We start from the raw sequence: 21,597 nt of genomic DNA, 5'->3' as shown, positions 1-21,597 counted from the left end.
CTCACCATGGCCACCGAGGCCAGCCTGAACTTCCCTGCAGTCAGTATTCTGGGTAAGGACATGGGTGCACGCGGCTCAGGCCAGAACCAGTCATCTCCCCAAATGCTTAAACATCAGCTTTGGTACTTAGCAGCACGGGCGCCCTTCAGTCATATGGAAAATCTGTGGCTGTAAACTTCCATATTCCCTAAGGATACCTGCCACCCACAGCCTAGGGCTTCCGAGCTCCACTCCTTCTGGGCTGTGCGCCCCTGGGCAAGTGGTCTGAGCTCCTCCAGCCTGTTTCTCCATCTTTAAGGTGGGAACAGACCCCACATGGCTGCATAAGGCACGATGAAGATTTTGAAAGAGGAGATTGTCTGCATGGATCTTGGAGATGCTTCTTGTGAGGCTGGCTCTCTGACAATAAATAGATCCAGCTGATGAGGGAGTTTTGCGCCAGTCAATTTAAACTGTTGACAGTCAATCCCTAAGACAAATGCAGTAGTGGCTGCCAAGAAGAGGGATGCATTTGGCCTCCATGACGGGATGAGGTGGGGACACAGCGAGGCACTGGAGTTGCAGAGTGTCACTAGGGACGGCTTTTGGCCCCAGCTCCTCCAAAGGGGCTGTGTGACCTCAGGCAAATTACTAAGCCTTTCTGAGTCTCTGTGTCTGCACAGGTTATATGAGGTACAGTTCCTTCTAAACAGAGGGCTCTGCACACAGTAGGTGCTCAGATACGTTCATTTCTCCCCTTTCCCTTTTAAGACTTAAAGGGCTAACTCAAAACAAGCAGGGAGGGCCGGAAACATTTTGGCTTCGGTGCCTCAGCCTCTCAGCAGGGATTACCTGCTTAAAGGTCAATCAGGAGCATGGATGTAGCTCTAGGCTGCCTTCTTGGGATCATGGGCTGTGCCAGGCAGGGCTGTCTTCCTGGCACCCAGCCGGAGCCTACACAGGGTGGGACAGAACAACCAGACCGGCTGGGTCCTCTGGAGGAAAGCCTGACAGAATGGAGGAGTGGGCTCCTCCAGACTCAGGGCTTCAGGGCAGGAACCCGGAGCCACTGCCCTGGTCTAGGGGCCTGAACTCTGCCCTTGAAACCTCCCCATACAGCAGGTCGCTGGCCGAGGCAAACCGACTCAATCCAATCTCAATCAACACCACGTTTATTGAGCACTTATTAAGTGCTGAGTGCTTGGGCTTCCTTGAGATGACACACATAACTAAAGGTGGTCAGACGGTGGTGTCTTTGCAGGACAGGGACCATCTGAGGCCCAGAGAAGGGAGGAAGAAGCCACTAGTCCTGGGGAGGAAGGCAACAGGCAGGCGTGGTGTGGGTGCTTCTGTCCGCCTGGGGTGGGGTGGGGCGGGGAAGAGTACCGTAGCAGAAGGAACAGCATGTGTGAATGCACGAAGGGAGGAAGCGGGGCTGCTCAACCACCCCAATCCCCGGACCTACAGTGAGGAGGAGGCCCTGACAGGGAGGCGACGAGGTGACGGGCAGCAGATCTGCCTAGACTCCTTCCCTTGGGGTCAACCGTCTGGAGAATACACCCCTGAACTGCCCTGCGGGATCCCTGCACCTCAAGTTTGTCTAATCCATTGTTTCTTCCTCAAGAAGAGAGGAATTAGGCTGGGCACGGTGGCTCACGCCTGTAATCCCAGCACTTTGGGAGGCTGAGGTGGGTGGATCACTTGAGGTCAGGAGTTCGAGACCAGCCTGGCCAACATGGTGAAACCCCATCTCTACTAACAATACAAACAATTAGCTGGGTGTAGCGGTGCACGCCTGAAGTCCCAGCTACTTGGGAGGCTGAGGCTGGAGAATTGCTTGAACCCAAGAGGTGGAGGTTGCCGTGAGCCGAGATCATGCCATTGCACTCCAGCCTGGATGACAGAGCGAGACTCTGTCTTGTTTCAAAAAAAAAAAAAAAAAGAAAAGAAAAGAGGAGTTAGGACAAGTTATGATTCCTGACCCACAGATGGGGACACTGAGGCTCAGTGAGACAAGGGGCTGACTCCACCACTCAAGGCGGAGGAGCAGGTAAGTGGCCGGGACTGGAATCTGGGTCTCCTTAGTCCCAGGCCTGTCCCTTCTCTCCTGCTTCTTGGCTCCTGGCCTTTGCACATTTGCAAAGTTTCAGAGCTCCTCTGTCTGGGATTCCCACACTGCTCAGGCCCGGAGGCCCATTCCCAGTGCCCTGCTGAACTTGAGTCCCTGTTTCCATAGAGACAACAAGAAGACAATCTTCTCTCTCTCTCCACCCCAAGTCAGCCACTGACATGGGCTATATTTGTCAAAGGGATACCAGTGGGATCTGGAGATTCAGCTCAGGAAGCTGGCCACTTGCTCTGCAGAAATAGACACGTACAGAGCCCTGGTCATTCTGCCAGAGCCCCGGGCCAGCTGGGGGTAGGGGAGCCCAGGCCAGGAAAGACATTCTGTGGACCCGCTGGCTACGAGGTTCAGAGGAAGTCGAGGCAGGAGCAGCTGCCACCCGTGCCCCCGTTTTGGTGGGATTGTTTTGCAAGAAAAGATGGCCCTGTGTGTAACTTCTTGGCCCCCACCCGGGGAACAGGGAAGGCCTGTGTACAGTTGACATTTACAGCGAGAGCCAAGCAGGAAGCTGTGACCACAGGATAATTGCAGCTCCCGGGGGGGTGTGGCCCGGCGGGATTTGGGGAGTCAAATGACGCAGAGATAAATCGTGTGTCAAGGTTACTTACATCGTGCAGTGGGTATGCAGCCGCGTACACACCATTGGCCAGCAGGCTCGTGATGCCTTAAAAACAGAGGCAGAGAGAAGGTTATGGGGCAGGCGGGTCTCCCGCTTCCCATTGTAAAGTCACAGCGGTCACAGGGCCATCTCAGCCACTAAGAGCTTCTCAAAATGAAACGAACCTGACTACGCAGAGCCCGGCCACCTCTGGGGTTTCTTCCCCAGGAATGACAGGGTGCAGCTGGGTTATTGATCTATCAACTAGGAGATGACGAAACACATGCTCGATTGGCAGAATTAGGAAGACACAGAGAAAACCCCAAGAGGCGGCTCTGTCTCAGAGGCAGGCGGTGTGAGCGGACCATGGCTTCACTGTCACCCCAAGCCTCCGATTCACCGGCTCCCCCCACCTGTCCGAGGGCAAGCCTGCAGATGGGGAAGGTGGATTGTAAGTGGTTAGAGAAGCTGAATCATGAGGAAATATACGGATGGAAAAATTGATGGTGTCAGAAAACACACATACAATTTGGAATTAGATTTTAGGTTGATTGGGAAAGCCGGAGGAGGCCCACACTTACCATACTTCCCACATTTCCGCCTTTTACTTAGAAGGGCGGAGTCCTTCTTTCTTCCCTCGCCTTGCCCTGTTTATACATTGGCTATTAGTGAGGTGGAAGGGCCTGACAGGATCAAAGCTACATTTGGGGCAGCAAGCGTCAGTGGCCAGTGATTCTGGCGGACTCACAGCCGTCCAGTGCTCCTGGAGGCAGTGGAATGCTGGCAGGGCCCCTTTTTACGTGGCCCCCAGGGCCTGCACTGGGCACATTATAAAAACACCATGCCTGTGTGTCCTAACAGGTGCGCATGCGGGCGCCCAGCCCCAGGAGACTGCGAGAGAGGACCGGAAAGCCAGGGCCATGTGTGGGGAAGGGTTTCCTGGAAATCAGATCTTGCTCCAAATACATCGTGGGGGCCCAGCCAGGCGGGGGCGTTTCCATGGGGCCCTTTGCTGCTCATGGAACCCCCTGCTTGGCTGAAGAGGCTTCCTAGGCAGTAAGAGCGTTAAGTTTTTCACAGCAGCCTGGGCGGACCACCCTCTGAGACTCCACCTGATAGCGGCGGGAAAATGACCTCCCGAAATCCCCTTGAAAATGGGCCATCTCTGTGGTCAATGACCTGGAATGATCAGGGGACTAAGGGATGCTTAGAAGTCAAAACCAGAGGAAGGGGCTTAAGCCACATGTGTGAGTGAAAAGTTTGTCTGCAATAGAAAGTGAACATGGGGGCCCGGCACAGTGGCTCACGCCTGTAATCCCAGCACTTTGGGGGGTTGAGGCAGGTGGATCACGAGGTCAAGAGATCGAGACTATCCTGGCTAACACAGTGAAACCCCGTCTCTACTAAAAATACAAACAATTAGCCAGGCGTGGTGGCGGGCGCCTGTAGTCCCAGCTACTCGGGAGGCTGAGGCAGGAGAATTGCTTAAACCCAGGAGGCAGAGGTTGCAGTGAGTTGAGATTGTGCCATTGCACTATAGCCTGGGTGACAGAGCAACACTCTGTCTAAAAAAAAAAAAAAAAAAAAAGAAAGTGAACATAGGCCCTCAGCCAGGCTCGCTGGCCTCCTTCCTGTTGCTGGAATGCTGCTAACCTGGTGCTGCCTGCCGCAGGGCCTTTGCATGTGCCACTCCCTCCATCTGGAAGGCCTTCTCTCATCACAGTTCCTAAATCCCGCAGCTAGCCCCACCCTGCTCATCCTGCAAGACTATGGGACACAACTTGGCAGGTGACGGGAATCCTCAGCACTTGCGGATGAATTTAGAGGTGGGTCGACTCTCAGACAAGGTGTCATGGTGAAGCAGGGCTGAAGAGGAGGACCCGCATCTATCTGCCCCGTCACCAGGTGCAGGGAACCAGCCCCGCCACAAAACCGGTGGGAACACAGAGACCCTGTGTCCCCAGGGACCACCCGAGCAGAGAATCAGCCTGGGCCATGCAGCCTGAAGACGCTGGACTTCTATTGCAACCATACACGTTTCTACTGGAAGGAACGCTGCAGGGACCCAGGGGGGAAACCGAGGTCCAAGACCCGGCCCTGGGACCAGAACCATGCCTCCTCCTTACCTCTAGTTACCTTTCCAAGGCTGTGCCCTGGCAGCGGTGACCTAGAGGAGCAATTTCAAAAACCCAAACTCCCAACGTCACCTTCCTTTCCGCCTGACCTCACTGCAGTCGTGTGTACTAGGGCTTGGCCATTCTAGAGGATCTCAGTCCTTTTGACCCTGGATGGGACTCCTCCACACTCCCCTTGCCTTAGGACATGGACTTAGAGACTTCAGGCCTGCAAGGGTATCCCTGTGAGTGAACACAGGCCATATGGTCTGGGGCCAAGCAGCCACCAGAGCTGTCGAGGGTTCGTCTTCTCTCTGTCTCCCGGGCCTGACCTCAGGAATTCCAGTTCCGAGCCCTTGACTCCCACTGCTCTTCATTTTACTTCCCACAGCATTCCTGCCACCACGGGAAGCCAAGGCAGCAAGATGGTCCCTCCTGTATGCACAGACTCCAGCTTTCACCAGACCTGCTGTGTCCCCCGGGAGCCATGGCCTCATCCTTTCAGAGGCTTCTACAGAGTGATGGATGCTACCCTATGGCACGGCTCTCAGCAGGTCATAAGACAGCTCAAGAAGGAGGGGAGGAAAGGCTGGAAATGGCATTCCTTTGCTCTGCAATGTTCTGGCTTTCACAAACTGCCTGCAGCTGTGGGCAAGGGACCCACTGTGGGGGGTGGTTCCCAGCTACACAATTTAATTGGGAAGATTTTGTATCTACGGCTTAAGGGGTTCTGGAAACTGGTACCCAGAAAGCCTGGTCAGGATGGTTTTGTGGCAGCTTCCGGAATTAGGCTGTCTGTACCTGGTGGTGCCTGGTCAGGGGGCGCTGCTTTCAGCAAGCCCAGCTGTGCTTTTAAGGGTCCGGAACAGCCACATGGAGATGCCGCCCCGGCTGGAACCCCAATTACTTCCCACTGGACCGTGAGGGTCAAGAGAGGGCCAGGAATCCCCCGGTCATCCCTAACACTGGTCTGTTTCCAGCCTGGATTTACCACCCGTGCAGGGAGAGCCTGTCCACACGCTCACAAACCCCTCAGGCCAAAGTGAAGGATACATTTGTGTTTAAAAGTGCTGGGCCATAAAACTGCCCTGCACGCTCCCAACCCAGCCCTCTTGTCTGGAACTGTTACACAGGCTTAAATCAAAACCCTCTTAAACACCCCAAGCCGGCTGCCTGCCTCCCACAGAGATGACTCGGAGGTGAGATTCCGACTTGGAAACCAATGCTGATCTCAAGCCCCAAAAACGTGCTTACCCATGCTGTACTTGGCCTTTGTACACGTCGTTCTCTTCAAGATCTCATAGACCTATTGCAGAGACAAGAAGGGGGGTGAGCAGTTACTTAAGGCACCTTCCACGAGCAGAAACAGTCTGCTGTGGCTGGAGAGGACCTGGTCACACGTTACGCATGAAGACCTCCTTGGTGCTATCTTCCAAGGAAAGACAATGGCATTTATTCAGGGAGGGTTGACCCAGCTCCGGATTCTCAACACTGTCAAAGGCTTGAGCTTCTCAGGGAGAAACAGGTGCACCTGCAGTTCCCATCTTTCACCTCCCAACGTGGGAGTCATGGCAGTTGGCCCCAGCAAAGCACTGCCGTGCCCTCCTGGGCCTAGTGCTGGTGTCCTGTGTCACAGCTGTGCCACGTACCCTGCCTGGTGGATTTACGGTCCCCTCGTGCTGAGAGCTGAGTTGGAACAGCACCACTCTGGGACACAGCCCTGAATGTTCTAGGACTCTGGGGGATCAGGGGTGGTGGTGGTGGGGCGGGCCTTGGGATCCATTCCCCACGGTGGCAGGAGGCGGCCATCATCGGGCTCTGGGTTCCTGGTGCCTGGGCAGAGCCCTGCTGAAGGGATTCCCCCCCGGCTGCCTGCCCCTTGACTAGTGACGTGTTTTGTTTGGTGGCCTCAGCAGCTCCGGCTTGGGAGTCTGTCTGCCTGGAACCTGGCGCCAGCTCTGCCATTTGCAGCTGTGTGATTTTGGACCAGCGACATCACCACTCCCGGCCTCAGTTTTTCCATCTGTAAACTGGGGTGAGAAGAACTGGTCGTGCTATGCAGACGTGCATTTCAGAGCATGCCAATTCTGCCTCCACTCTCTCAGGCAAGGCCAGCGTCCTTCCAGTTCCCCCTGGCCCAGGCCATCTGACCGCTTCCCCGCCCCGCCGCCTCCACTGGACCCACCTGTCCCAACAACCCCGCCCCCTGGCTGCCTCTCTCACTTTCCAAACTCACTCCTGCAGCCACAGGGCCTCCGCCCTGGCTGTTCCTTTTCCCAGAAGCACTTGTCCCCTTCAGATTGGAATAGGTCCAGGGTCCCCTTAACAACCAGGCCTTGAGGCCACCACCCTCCCGGTGGCTCTGTCTTCTAGCTCAGCTTGCCTCTCCCCACCTGCCGGATTATAAATGTCCTCAGTGCCTCTTTTCTCCCACCCAGCAGGTGCCCAATACATCCCTGCTGAATGAAGGAAGGAATCGCCCACTAGGCTGTTCTCAATGGCTCCCTCCCCATCATCCCTCAGATCTAATCGGTTCTGACCTTGCTGATTCTCCTGTAACCACCTCCTCCCTTCCACATGCAGTTATGGCCCATGTTTATGACCACTGCCACCAGCCCTCATCCACCAGTCATTTACCCTCCCACAGCTGGCCACTGGCAGTGATCCTTCTGGAACGGATCTCACCACATCCTCAACCTAGCTCCACAACCTTCTATGGCTCCCCAGCGCCCACAGGCCAAAGGTCTAAAATCCAAGACCAGCACAGTGGGCCTCTCCCTATCGAGTACTGCTGTTCTCTGACTCCTATCCACTTGCACACTGGACCACCCCAATGCCAGGACAGATTGAATGGTGTGGAGGAGAGGAGTGGGGAAGGGCTGTCAGTTCTCCACGGCTTTGCCTAGAACCTCAGCCAACCCTGCAGGCTGTTGGATTTTGATGACTATTAGGCCTGACTAACCAAGGCCAAAGCTATGAATTATCAGTTTCTTTGGAGCATGTTGGCCATTTAGAAACTGGCCTCCAGGGTCTCTGGGAGAGAGATGCCCTCCTCCCTGCCCCAGATCTGTCTGTCCCAGCAGTGGCTCAGAACCCCCCGTGCTGGTACGACCTGCACCGACCTCCTGCTGGCTGCCTGCCAGTCTCAGGTGGTGGTCATGAGGAGTAGTTGTCTGGACAAGGTCACCCTGACTGTCTCCTCCCAGCCCTCTGTCTCTGCCCGGCCAGGCTGGGCTTTCTGGGCAGGGAATAGAGAATAACAGCGAAAGTTTGGCTGCCAGGTTAATTTCTTGTTTAGATAGAAGTTGGGTCCTGAGCCATGCACAGCCCCAGCTTGGCTGGTGGACAGGTTGGATAAACATGAAGCCAGTGCCTTGAATAGGGCAGGGTGGCCTGGTCAGATTTCAAACCTCAGTTGGCTCCTCTGGCAAAGGCCTGGAAAGAGATCTCAACCCACGCGCCTTTGCCTCCACCAACCCTCCCTCCTGCCCACACCTGCCTGCCCTGAAAGCCCCGAATCGTGGCCTGATGGTCAGGCACGCACAATCCCACCACGAGGCGGCTCTGAGACATGTGCTGGGAGCTGCACAGATCCAGAAACACCGACCTTTGAAATCACTCCAGGGGTCTGGCTTCCCTCCTGCTTTCCCAAGCTCTGTGCTGATTCCCTTCCTCTCAGCTGCCCCTGCCTGGGGCACGACCATCCCCTGGGCCCCTCGTTGCCCTCTCCCTTTCATTATTCTAATTATTTCTGTCACAGACAATTAGAGCCGGCTTCCACCGGGAGGAGTTTCACCAAAATGAAATTATCATCTGGATCCCCAGGGCCATCTTGCCAGTGAGCCGTTTCCAGGCGCGTGCGATACTTACAATCGTGCTCCGGGTTTTGCTGTCGAAAAAGGAATCCTTATCAGACAAGTCAAATCTGTGGAAATATCGGGAAGGAAACAAGACACAGTTCACCAGAGCTGGCAGTTCTCTGGGTTTCAAGGCCCTGGGAAACCACACTGTCCCCATTAGCCGTGACCGTGAAATGGACAGAACTCTGTCCGCACGCCAGGTATGACCCGTCCGCCCCTGGGCATTTGGAACAGACTGTTTCACTGCCCCCGCACCTGGGCGAGGCCTGAGACCCACATAGGTGGGAAGTGACCTAGGAGGCGAGTACGGTCAGACCACCCTCCAGCCCCCCACCCCCCACAGCCCCCCAGAAGATCCCTGCTTCCTTTTGATGACATCCTCAGTGGGCAGTTTTGAAAGTCTCTGTTTCAACAAGGCGGGGGACAGGGGCAGTATCACCGCCACCATCAGACAGCTCCAACCTTGAAAACAATCTCCCTGTATTTCCAATGGTTTGGGTCCTGATGGGCTGCATAGGGATGGCCCGAGGCTTCCTGAGGGTGGAGGGGCATCTTGGGAACACACTCCCTGCTCTCCCTGCTCTCCAAGGCACTTCGGGGAGAGCTGGGGAGGGCGGCTGGGCCAGTTTCCACCTCCACGGAGCCTGGAGGTGAGCTTAGCCCTGTCCAGGCAGCAGGGCTGACAGAGTCGACCCAGGGCAGAGACGAGGGAGGTCGGCGGGGGTCCTGGAAGGAGGGCGGTTTCCTCTAATGCCCCAAGCCCCTGTTCTGGATCTGGAGGAGAGGGCTGGGCTTGGGGGTTGCTTCCTTCTCTCTGGTGGCATGTCCTGTCCGCTCTAGGAATCAGGACCTGGTAAATGCATCCAGTGATGCTCATGGCTCCACCCCTACTACATTTATAAGCAAGGGCCCCTGTGAGCTGAGGCACCTGTTCGTCCTCCCTGTCTGCTTTTCCATGCCCCCGACCCTGTGAGGCCAGCACTGTCCAGGAGCCCTCCTGCCCGCCAGAGCTTCCATCCAAAGTCCCTCTGGGTTCCCATGACTCAAGCTTTCTATTCCCACCTCTGCTCACACTCCAGCTCCGCCCAGTGAGGCCAGCAGAGGCCTTGCAGTCACTGCTGACCCAGGTGGCTACGCCCCACTGCCCCTCGGGAGGAGGGAAGTTTCCAGAATAGACGTGGCCCTGCCAGGCAAGCCAGCTGGCGGTGAGTCCCTGGGGCCTCAGGCCTCCTGCCTGGGGATGCTTTTCAATTTCTGCCACAAGGAGTGAGACTTACTGGGGCTCAAGGCTGCCTGGGCTGCAGGAGGCCTGGTTGGCCAGACACTGGAGGGGGATGGGGTGGCGGGGCAGGGGTGCGGAGCGGGTGGGAAGGCATGTCTAGACCACTGCTTTGGGGTCCTCACTCAGGCCAAAGAAGTTTTTCCTGCGTCACCAAGCAGAACAAGATGCTGTGTCCCCCTAACTCATCAGTTAACGGTGATCTTAGAAATCATTTCCACAGCCTCTTCTGGGCTCAGCAACCACAAAGCTCTTACAAGAACACGCTCTTCTTTGGGGGACAGATAATCAATCTGCATTTCTCATGCTAGAAGGTTAAATCCCCACACACAGGACCCTTTGGGGAGCAGGCTGGGGGTCCCCACTTACAGATGCTGCTTCTCCCGGGAGAAGGGATAGGAGAGTCTCTTCATGGTCTGGGGCCTGTGCTCAGCCACTTTGGGCTGGATGGGATCTGTGATTTTCTGGAGCACAGAGTTGATTTTTTTCAGGAGGCCACGGGTCTCATTAATGTGGTACATCTGCAGATAAGACAAGGGACCGGGGAGCTGCGTCACCCTGCTGGACCATGATCCGTGGAATCTGTTCTCGGATGGTCAGAGAACCATCCCACCCCATGCAACGGGGCGTCCTGAGAGCAGAGCACCTGGGTGGGCCAGAATGCACCGCCCCACCCCGCCCACGCCATGAAAGCCCAGAGTTTCAGGAGCGCCCAGCCAAAAGCACAATTACAATGCATTCCAGAGAACTTCCCCGCTAAACTTTACTTTTGCTTCAAAAGAGGTAATCCAAGTGGTCTCTGAGGACGCGAGAAGCAGGAGGCTGATTTACTACCTAGCCCGGCTTCACCCGTCCGCCTGCCAGAGTAAATACCGACTCCAAGCTAAGCTTCTGGGAACACACTGTCAAACTGCTTTTTAGATACAAAGTTTTCACAGATTAAAAAGAAAAATCCCCGTAAGCCAGAAAATGTAATTAAAATGAATCTGATAAATTAGCTGAGATGCCACAAACACGAAAGCACCACGGCCCGAACTGTAACTGTGTCTGCAAGTACAGTAAATTCCCCGGGGGCCGAGAGGTGGGCTTTTCTGCCTGCACCATCTCTTGGTGGGGTTTGGTCTGGGGTCTCTAAAGATCACCCAGGGTTGGGTCATATTCACCACGGTCAGGACCCCAGAGCCTGGGGGCCTTGTCACATCGAGCCACATGGTCTTTGCAGGGGTAGCCGTGAAGCCCACTGGGTTTTTTTTTTATAAAACTCAGGGCCTCGAGGTCGGCATGTTTCACTGCCAGGCGTCCAAGTGACCTCTAGACTTGGCGATTCATTTCGGAGCAGGACCATCAACACCAACCTTCTTCGTCGGCATCTTCAGTTTCAGAAACTCGGCCTCTCTGCACAGCACGTTCCAGGGGGCATGGATTTTCACAAACCCGACTCCGTGGATTTTAGTCTGGAGAGAGAAGGAAAGTTCTGGGTTGAGGGGGGGCGGTGCATCTCTGTGGAAAACCACCTTGATCTTCAGAGGCCACCACAATTTATCGAGCAGCTACTGTGCATGGCTGCTTTTACCGCGGCCTCATTCCACGTTGACAACACTTTGAGGCAAAGCTAGAATTCCCTTTAGCAGAAGGTGGGAGGAAGTGCAGGGGGCTGTGGGAGCTCCCCCAGGTCATACGGGAAACTTTAAGAGCCAGGAGGGTCTAGAGGAGGATCCCCGGTGGGTATAGACTCCAAAACACCAGGGAAGTTTTCAGGAGGGTTTAGCCAAGGGCCCCCAAAGCAGGCTAGGCCACAAAAGAGGACCTTTCAGGATGCAGAGCCCAGGCCCCTCGGCCTCCACCTGGAATCACTCAGGGACCTGTGGGTCCCTGAGCAGTGCCGAGGAGGGGACGACTGAAGATGGTCCCCCCTCTGGGCATCTTCCCCTGTGGGTCAGGGCCACACCTCTGCCTGCTCCAGGTCCACTGCCCGGGTTCCCTTGTATCTGCACTGACTTCATCCTAAAGAGAATGGCAGCCTGGTGCATGGGCTTGAAGGCAGGCCCGAGTTCAAGTCCAGTGCCCTCCCTAAACAGCTGCCAGCTTGGCCAAGTCACCTCTCTCTGGTCCTCAATGGCAACAGTGAACAGCAGAGAGTCACCGAGCGCTGGCTGGCGAGGATGCGGCACCAGCTAGGGGCTTCATGAGAACCGACTCCATCAACCTTCATGGCCAGCTTGATGAGAAAGGCCCCCTTTACAGATGGGAACACTGAGGCTGGGGGAGATGAAGTCACCACAGCCTACAGTCTTGCTGCTAGCAGGGTGGAGCTGTGCTCAAACACAGGCAGCACTGCCCTGACTCCCCACTCTTAATCGGGGATCAGATGCAAAGATGGCCCCAGCGTCTCTAGCTTTCCCTCTCCCCTCTGGATTTCGCGTTTAATAGAGTCCCTTTAGCAAATGAGCAGCATCTTTGCAGCCACAACGTATTTCCCCATCAAAGACACATGTCACATCAGTCGGCCTTCCTGTCACCCTGAGACCACCCAGCTGCCCAGGGTGCTGACGCAACGAGAAGGGAAACAGTGCCGAGTCTCCCTGAGCCAGAGCTGCCTAAAGGCAGTGGGGGCCTTGGTCCTCCGGGGCTTGGGGGTCAGACAGAGGCTTCCAGACTGAGGTCCCATCCACGTCTCCTTTCCACAATTCTGAGCCTTAAAGGAAGGGATGGGAAGTCTTGGCAAAAAGGCAGACGGGAGGAAGAGCGAGTGCCGGCCGGGACCTCATCCATCCCCTCCGGGTGCAGAGCGACCAGGTGCAGGCTCAGGGCCTGACCTGGGTTCTGGACCCCTTGAGTGTCTGACACAAGTACATAGGTTCATTGTAGCTTGTTGACAAAAAGCAATGAAGCCAAAGTCACTTGGGGATGAGTTTTTTTTTTTTTTTTTTTTTTGGTTTTTAATCATTTTTTTGTTCTTTTTTGAGATGGAGTCTCACTCTTGTTTCCCAGGCTGGAATGCAGTGGCGTGTTCTCAGCTCACTGCAACCTCCACCTCCTGAGTTCAAGCGATTCTCCTACCTCAGCCTCCTGAGTAGCTGGGATTACAGGCATGCACCACCACGCCTAGCTAATTTCTGTATTTTTAGTAGAGACGGGGTTTCACCATGTTGGCCAGGCTGGTCTGGAACTCCTGACCTCAGGCGATCTGCCTGCCTCGGCCTCCCAAAGTGTACTTGGGGATGAGTTTTAAGAAAACAAAATCTGAAGTGGGTCAAGTCAATGTACCCAGCGAGAGCCTCGGTGGAAGCCTGTGAACGCGACGGTCCCAGGGACCTGGGCAAAGCTTCCAGGTCCAGCAGAGAGAGTTAAAGGTGGGGCCCCAGCACCTCAGGTGACCACCGAGGAAGGGAGACCCTCCTTGACACCCCAGCTTCATCCCATGCTTCTTCCTGATCCGATAGAAAAGCAAATGGCAATGGGGTGAATCCTGTCTCATCGCTCCTTCTGAAGCCCACCGTGGTCGCTTATGCTGATGGTGAGGCCCCCGGCTGCGTCCACGAGGCCTGCCCTACGCCATCCTCTCCCCAGCACCACCGCTCAGGCCTCCTCTGTGCTGCCCTGCTGCCCACGGAAGGCTCAGAGCAGCCGCTTTGCACATATTTATGGAATGAACGAACGAAGGGCAATAATACAGTAATAGTAATAGTAATGTTGACAGAGGCTGACATCCACTCAATGTCAGTTCCGTGCCGGTCCCTGCTGCGTGCATTCCATGCATATCAACTCATTTTATCCTCACTGCAAGCCTGTGAGGCAGGTCCTGTCATCATCCTCATTTCACAGCTGGGGAAACTGAGGCCCTGAGGCGTGTGCCATGCTGGCCATTGCGGGATCCTCCTGCAGCTTCTGTAACACGTGACCCCAAAGTGGGTGTTCATTCTCCTTCAGCTCTGGAGGCCTGAAGTCCACAGTCAAAGTGTCTCCAGGGCCATGCTCCCTCCGAAGGCCCTAGGAGAGGATCCTTCCTGCCTCTCCCAGCTTCCGGGGGCTCCAGGCGTCCCCTGGCTGTGGCCACATCGCTCCAGCTGCTGGCTCCTTGATGGCATGGCCTCCTCTCCTCGCTGGGTCTCAAATTTCCCTCTGCCATTCTCTGCTATTGGATTTATGGCCCACCTTAAATCCAGGATGATCTCATCCAGAGATGTTTAACTTCATTCCCTCTGCGAAGACCCTTCTTCCAAACAAGGCCACGTTCGCAGGCTCCAGGAGCATGTGGATCGGGGGCCACCGCTCAGCCTCTGCTCCCACCCTGAAGCTGCAGGTTGCGGTCCTGCAGGGCTTTGTGCAGGGGCCTGTCCCAGTGGTTAGGGGAGCTTTGCAGGAGCACGGACCCAGGAGCGGGGGCCTGAAGCTGCTTCAGGGAGACAGCAGGACTAGGCTGCCCCAGGCACGGTGACTGGAGAATGTGCGGCGTGGGGACCCTTGTAGGGGAGCCCAGGGCTGAAGGACATAAGGTGTGGGTTTGGGCTCCCTCTGAGAACTGATGATCTCAGCGTGAACTGGAGGAGGCAGTGCCAGGGGCTCCGGCAAGATGAGCCCAGATCCTTCTGTGGCCCTCGAGGGGCAGATTGAGTGGGCACTGTGCTTAGAGGCCTGGGACGGCGTGGCCTGGGCTGGAATCCTGCCCTGCCCCTGTGTGGTTTCCACAGAGTGACTTAATCTCTCTGAGCCTACATTTCCTCATCGCAAACTGGGTATCACAAGGCCTGTTTCCCAGCAGGGGAGCCTCTGGTGCTCTTGGCAGCCCTGGTCCAGCTGAGCCCCTGCCTGTGCAAGCACAGACTCCTTCGGCCAAGAAGCTTGAAGCCACCTCCTCAGTGCTGGGGAGCCACGGAGGGCACTGAGGCTGGAGAGGTGGAGGTCTTCCATCCTGGTGACCCACAGGAACAGCACTGACTTCATGGGGCACCTCTGAGTCAGGAGAAAAGACAGCCCACGTGTGGGAGAGCCTGTCTTTTCTTGTTGCAGACACAGATTTATTTCTGGGCTCTGCTCACTCACATGCAAAGACCCAAAATATATTCCTCTGAGTCCATGAGGATTTCTGCACGGTGGTCAAGGAGCCGGTGGCTGCTGCTGGCCTCCCTGGGAAAACATGCACCCCCGTTTACATGAGCAACAGGGTCTCTCCCAGGGAAACATCTGGTGAGATTCGGGAAAGGGGTCATGAGACCAGTTCGGCAAAAACACATGTGGGATGTTTTAAAGCATGGTGCCCGGGCTGACCACAGCCTGTCCCCAGCAGGAAGACACTGGGAGTGACAGCCGTGTCCCCTTCGCCCCCAGCCAGCGCCCTGAGGAGTGCATTCTGCCCCGACTCTTGGCCCTCAAGCTGGGGTCTTTGAGGTTCATGAACCTACTTTGTCGAGAGCCACGGCCGTGGGGGTGGTGAGGCCCCATCTGGCCAGACCATGGGGCTCTGCAAGGGGACAGAGTCAGCCCCCCAGACAGCCCCCAACCAGAGGGGGCAGAAGATGCTGACCTTAGTGCAGTGACTAACTATGCCGGCGGAAACCTCCCTCTGAACCCAGCCCAGAAGAACTCTGACCTTCCTGGAATTGCTTCTGACATTTTCGTTTCAGAAGAAAGAAGAAAATCACAAACAGAAAGGAGAAGTGAGTCCCCATGGTGGATACACAGTGGGCAGGGATGCTGAGGGTCCCCGCTACAGCCCCCGTGGCCCGAGGGCCTAGACCCTCAGTCCACGCGGTGGCCCTGTGTGCTTCTATCATCCAGTCTTGGCCACGGATGGGACTCCCTGCAGCTGGAGCGTGGGCTCGAAATTGCTAGAAGATTTGAAGGTTTGCACCCCTAAAGATCAGACCTGGGTGGTTTTCGGGTTGCCCTTGGCTTCCTAGGGGGTGAGCTTCTTTCCTCACCTACCCTGGTCCTCACAGGCCGCTTCATACCCTGGAGGGCATTGTTCACTATGGATGTCTGGCCCTCAATCATGGCGTCGGGGTGCTGGAGGGCTGAAGCCTGAAGGTCAGAGTGCTACTGAGAGGGGCCTCCCCAGACAGCACCTCCCGTGTCAGGCAGGAACCATGGGGTGTGTGTGCCGTGCACAGCAGGCCAGGCACCTCCCATATCGGGCAGGAACCATGGGTGTGTGCTGTGCACAGCAGTCCAGGCCACTGGGTGCAGGGGAAAGCCCAGGAGCCTCATCGTTGGTGGGGTTTGGGCCCGAAGGCCCTCGAGCACCCACAGAACACCTGGACAAATCCCCGTTTCCCTGTTTGCAGCTTCCTCAGCTCCCAAGGAGGAGAACACCCAGCCCTGCGGGGAGCCGTGTGGCCCCATTAGGAAGGCACAGGACTCTTCTGACCCTGTCTGTCCACGAGGACGCGGGGCTGCTGTGGTCTAATCCTCCTGCCGTCGGACTCGGGGGCAGACACCAGGAGCCTTGGCGGGTGCCCCAAGGGGTTCACATTCTCTGCCATAAATAGGCTTTTGGGGCATGTGACGCCCAGTGCCACATCCCTGGTCAGCCCTTCATGACCAGGCGAGTTTTCAGCAGCCCTGGCATCTGCCTGTCTCTCCCCGTTGGCACCAGCTTCCAGCACGGATAGGAGCTGGCACACTGGGTCTGAAGCCAGGCTTATCTGTTTAGCTGACTGATGTATCCCTAGGACGGGGAACAGCAGTGGCCACAGAGCAGAGGCTCAGTGATGTCCACTGAGTGAGGGAGAAGGCAGAGGGAAGGCACCCGACTTTATAAAGCGCCTACTCTGTGCCAGCCTAGGACAGCCCCGGCTTTCAGACTACCATCCGCCTTCTCTCCAACCTTTTGGTAGCTATGGATGTGTCCACTTCAGTAAATATGGACGAGGGGGCAGGGAAGGCCCAGAGCCCCTTGTCCCAGGCCCATGAACAGTAGATGTGGAGGAATCTCAGCCTGACCTTGACCCTGCAATGCTCACTCCTACCCTCCACCCGCACGGCTCCAGAGGGCACGCGGGCAAGATGGGAGATGCTCTCAGTCCCTGGGCAGGGGTCTGCCTGGAGAGGTCATTGCCGGTGCCTGGTATTTCCCACGCCACAGTTACTGCTGATCACGTCCACACTGCATAGGAAGACCTGGCTCCCCATAGCAGGGACACTGCTATGAAGCACAGTTGAGGGATTGCTTCTGGAGCAAGCATACATCCCCCATTATCCTGACGCAGTCTCCAGACTCGAGTCTCAGGCGAGCTGAGGACCCAAGGAATGCAGCCGTGGGTGGATCAGGCGCCACTGCTCTTCCCCAAGCATGGGGCAGGGACTGGGCTGTGGACATCTTTAATCCCAGCCCTTGCCATGGGGTCTGGTCCTAGGCCTGCTCAGTGATGTCTTGTTAAAGAAATAAATGATAGGTAAGTCAGCAGAAATATCATTTCACATTCCTGCTTCTGTTGAAGGTGGTAGATTACTCAGATCAACCCTCCCAGGATACATAGTAAAGAATGCACCACAGGAAAAGAAACAAGAAATTCAATGACCTGAAACAGCGGTCCCCAACCTTTTTAGCACCAGGGAGGACTGGTATTGTGGAAGTCAATTTTTCCACAGGACAATGCTGGGGTTTCAGGATGAAACTGTTACACCCCTTGATTATTATTATTATTATTATTATTTTTTGAGACAGAGTCCCACTCTGTCACCCAGGCTGGAGTGCGGTGGCGTAATCTTGGCTGACTGCAATCTCCGCCTCCCAGGTTCCAGCAATTCTCCCGCCTCAGCCTCCCAAGTAGCTGGGACTACAGGCATGTGCCACCATGCCCAACTAATTTTTGTATTTTTAGTAGAGACGGGGTTTCACTATGTTGGCCAGGCTGGTCTGGAAGTCCTGACCTCAGGTGATCCTCCCACCTCAGCCTCCCAAAGTGGTGGGATTACAGGCATGAGCCACCGCTCCCGGCTGAAACTGTTCCACCTCTGATCATCAGGCATTAGATTCTCACAAGGAGCACACAATCTAGATCCCTCGCATGCACTGTTCATAACAGGGTTTGGGCTCCCAGTGAGAATGTCATGTCACTGCTGATCTGACAGGAGGCAGAGCTCAGGTAGGAATGCTCGCTGGCCCACCACTCACCTCCTGCTGGGGGGCCTGGTTCCTAAAAGGCCACGGACCGATACGGGTGCCCAGCAGAGGAGGAGGAGAGAAAGAGAAGGAAAAGGAGGACTGGAACCCACCCTGAGAAGCTCTGGCCCCTACAGCCATGGCGCCTGTGAAGACCTGGGCACCTCAGACTGTGGCTTTGGTTCAAGGTGGCTCTCATCTATAACGCTGCAAACCTTTCTGGACAAGGTCACCTTTATCAGAGGCTTTGGGAAACCCCACAGATTATAAAAGGTCAATGACTAGCAGACAAGCGAAGCAGACCCGCCCCCACCAGGGCAAGAGACAGCCCCGGGAGGAGAACCAGCTGAAGTGACCGAGATAGAAATCGGCCCACTCAGCTTGGGATTAGCAAAGGATGAGCTGGGTAATAAATCAGCTATGCTTAACTCGTTTAAAGACATAAACCTCAAGATAGAAAAGAACTGCAAAGGACAGGAAACTATTAAAACATGACATAGCTGACTTGGAAAAGAACCAAATAGAACTCCTAGAAATAAAAAAGATCATAAAAAGAGTTAAAAACTCAACAGATATGTTGGGAAATGCTCAACCCCTCCAAAGACAAGAAGGCACATGGGGCTGGTGCAAGAAGATGCTGGTGAGGGGCTCCGGCGGGGGTGAGGGGCTCCTGCGGGGGCGAGGGAAGCCCTGATTTGCAGCATCTGCCAATTCCCATGGTGTAAATACCCCACCGTGGCCTATTTCAAGCCAGCAACGGGTAACAACCAGCTTGCAGAATTCCAGAAGGACATGACTCCAGCACACCATGGGCCTGGACACAGATGAGGACCTCAGAACTATAGCCAGAATGGCAAAGATTTCACCCCAGCAGCCTGGGATGCCCTGTGGCAGAGCTGTGCAATGATGGTCTTGGGGTCACTTTAAAAACATGAATTTTTAAAAAGGTCCAGAATGAATTTTCTTTCCCTCTTTCTTTCTTTTCTTTTCTTTCTTTCTTTCTTTCTTTCTTTCTTTCTTTCTTTCTTTCTTTCTTTCTTTCTTTCTTTCTTTCTTTCTTTCTTTCTTTTTCTTTCTCTTTCCTTTCTTTCTTTCCTTTCTTTCTTTCTTTCTTTCCTTCCTTCCTTCCTTCCTTCCTTCCTTCCTTCCTTCCTTCCTTCCTTCCTTTCTTTTTCTTTCTTTCCTCTCTCTCTCTCTCTCTCTTTCTTTTTTGAGACAGTCTCATTTTGTCAACCAGGCTGAAGTGTGGTGGCGCGATCTTGGCTCAATGCAACCTCCGCCTCCTGGGTTCAAGCAATTCTCTTGCCTCAGCCTCCTGAGTAGCTCGGACTACAGGCGCCAGCCACCACGCCCGGCTAATTTTTGTATTTTTAGTACAGATGGGGTTTCGCTATGTGGCCAAGCTGGACTTGATCTCCTGACCTCAGGTGATCCTCCTGCCTCAGCCTCCCAAAGTGCTGGGATTATAGGCATGAGCCATGGCACCCAGCCCAGAATTCACTTTAAAAGAAATATGTTTCCATGAAACCAAGACAAGCCAAAAGAAAATCAGGCCATGATAAAAGTCATCCAATCTGTTTCGCGCCTCAGCTGAAGACTGGGGAGGCATAAAATCTTTAGGGACCAAAGAAGTCTGTAACAGTGGAATGAAGAGCAGAGAAATAGCTTCATGAATAGACTAGAGGTTCCTAACATCCCATCGTGCAAGAGGCCCATTCTTCCTCCCCTGGGGGAGAACGGGGACTGCAAGTTTTAGTGCAGAGTCTCTGGGTGAGGTTAGGGGCCAGGTTCAAAGGCCAGACGTGCCACTCTCAGCTCAGGATCGAAATTCTGCCCTACCTACTCATGGTTCTGGTAGGAAGCCCACACGGAGTGGGGAACTGACAAGTCTCATGAGCATGTTTATTGCTTTTATTTGTGCTGATGAGCTGGGATTAGGCCCGAGACTCCTCAAATTCCAGGCCCCCACCCCCGATTCTCAAATCTGTGAGGGCCTCTCCCCAGCCCCTGCCAGTGCCCAGGGCCCTGTGGACAATGAATGCAGCCCCAGGACTGCCTCCCACACCTGCCCACATCCACAAGGCCTCCATGGGAAATGGCAAGAAATGGCTGCCCTTCCCTGTCCTGAGGCCATGGCAACCCTGCCACCACCCTCCCTGGTCACCTGGCGGCGGGCAGGGGCGGGGTCTCCACATGCAGGGAGACCCTTCTCTTCCAAGGGGGACTTGCGGTTCCCCTCTGGCAGGAGCAGGGTCAGGCCCTGGGAGTGGTGAGGAGTGGGCTCTGCCCCAGGCCTGTGGGTAAGGGGCGTTTACAGCCAACGCTGGCCAGCTCTGTCCCTCTGTGGGCTCGAGGATTAACTCTCTTGACCCTCACCCACCACTCCACAAGGAAGGTCACACTATCAACTCCATTTTACAGATGGGGACGTTGAGACCCAGAGAGGTGAAGCCACTTGCCCAGGGTTGCTCAGCCAGGAAGTTTGAGCTGGGTCCACATCCGCATACCGGGCTCTCAGAGGGGCTGGGCGGGGTCTGAACCCGCACTCGGAGCCCCGAGGTTGCGTCTCCACCACCTATGCATCCAGCCGTGGGCTTTGTCTGAAAGCAGCCCTTCTCCCATGGAGTCCGCCCTCACTTGCTTTTCAAAAGCAGCATCCATGAAGATGGCGAACAGATGCTGCTGCGGGGACAGCCCCACCCACTACGGGGATGCATGTGGAGAACCAGCGGCGAGCCAGTGGGGTACAGACTTGAGCCCTGGGCAGCGACATGAAAGCAAACAGACTTTTATAGGGTTCCAATGTCCACGGCCTTCTCAGGATCTACCAAAGCCTGGGTCAGGTTCAACATCAGGGCAGTGTGGGCCTCAGCCGCCCCCCAGCACACACAGCCAAGAGTTTAGTGTGTGGCGTTCTCCGCAATGACCCCATGGACATAAATAATGTCCAGCAGGCTTTGAGGCTGGACTTCAAAAAGGCTAATGGGTCTTAGTTGCAAGAAAACATGTTGGCCATATCTTCTTTAGTCCCTTTAATGGGAACCCTGAAAGCTGACCCCATGGCTGTCAAAGGGAGGGAGAGAGAAGGGGAGGGAGAGGGAAAGAGATGGAGACAGAGAGGGAGGGAGAAGGAGAGAGAGAGGGGGAGAGAGAGAAAGTGAGAGGGGGTAGAGTGAAAAAGAGGGAGGTGGGAAGAGAGAGAGAGGGGGAAGAAAGGAGAGAGAGAAGAGAGAAAGGGAATGATAGAGAGGGAGAGGAGACAGAAGGGAGAGAGAGACAGAGAGAGGAAAAGAGAAAGGACAGAGAGACAGAGGGAGAGAGACAGAGAGAAGTGAGAGAGAGAGATAGAGAGGTAGAGGTGAATAAGAGGTGAGGAGGAGGACAGAGAGAAAGGGAGATCAAGAGGGAGAGAGAGAAGGAGGGAGAGAGAGAAGGAAGGCCCTGCCTCAGGGCCCTTCTCTTTTCCTGCCCTTTCCTGCCCTGCAGTGCTGTCCTGAGGTCTCTGGGCCCCTCCTGTAAACCCACTTTGAAGGCCGCC

General features: G+C 55.3%; 1 protein-coding gene across 21 annotated transcripts in view, besides 3 other annotated features; it reads right to left on the bottom strand.

The window, feature by feature from the left end:
• ANO1 (anoctamin 1) overlaps positions 1–21,597 on the bottom strand; it is a 223,534-nt gene that overhangs the window by 75,056 nt on the left and 126,881 nt on the right. For 10 of the 21 annotated variants that reach the window (NR_030691.2, XM_047427185.1, XM_047427184.1 and 7 more), the window contains 5 exons: positions 11,311–11,409; positions 10,325–10,476; positions 8,687–8,741; positions 6,071–6,122; positions 2,713–2,768 (listed from right to left, as the gene is read on the bottom strand). Coding sequence is in view for 20 of the 21 variants with exons in the window: in XM_047427185.1 (XP_047283141.1) it covers positions 2,713–2,768; positions 6,071–6,122; positions 8,687–8,741; positions 10,325–10,476; positions 11,311–11,409 (414 nt within the window). In the remaining variant the exon portion in view is untranslated. Of the gene's footprint in view, positions 1–2,712; positions 2,769–3,283; positions 3,350–6,070; positions 6,128–8,686; positions 8,742–10,324; positions 10,477–11,310; positions 11,410–21,597 lie in introns of those variants that run through there. The other 11 variants (NM_001378092.1, XM_047427181.1, XM_047427183.1 and 8 more) reach the window with 3 other exon arrangements.
• Positions 14,469–15,228: an enhancer, noted in NCBI's record as "H3K4me1 hESC enhancer chr11:69945353-69946112 (GRCh37/hg19 assembly coordinates)". NCBI's record gives its function as "activates a minimal SCP1, AML or CMV promoter by ChIP-STARR-seq in primed H9 embryonic stem cells {active_cell/tissue: H9 hESC(primed)}" and the evidence as "EXISTENCE:reporter gene assay evidence [ECO:0000049][PMID:30033119]".
• Positions 20,035–20,534: an enhancer, noted in NCBI's record as "H3K4me1 hESC enhancer chr11:69940047-69940546 (GRCh37/hg19 assembly coordinates)". NCBI's record gives its function as "activates a minimal SCP1, AML or CMV promoter by ChIP-STARR-seq in primed H9 embryonic stem cells {active_cell/tissue: H9 hESC(primed)}" and the evidence as "EXISTENCE:reporter gene assay evidence [ECO:0000049][PMID:30033119]".
• Positions 20,535–21,036: an enhancer, noted in NCBI's record as "H3K4me1 hESC enhancer chr11:69939545-69940046 (GRCh37/hg19 assembly coordinates)". NCBI's record gives its function as "activates a minimal SCP1, AML or CMV promoter by ChIP-STARR-seq in primed H9 embryonic stem cells {active_cell/tissue: H9 hESC(primed)}" and the evidence as "EXISTENCE:reporter gene assay evidence [ECO:0000049][PMID:30033119]".

This window comes from Homo sapiens, chromosome 11 (genome assembly GCF_000001405.40).
Source record: "Homo sapiens chromosome 11, GRCh38.p14 Primary Assembly".
Lineage (NCBI taxonomy): Eukaryota > Metazoa > Chordata > Mammalia > Primates > Hominidae > Homo > Homo sapiens.
Note: the sequence above shows the minus strand (reverse complement) of the source record. Positions and strands in the feature narration are given on the sequence as shown.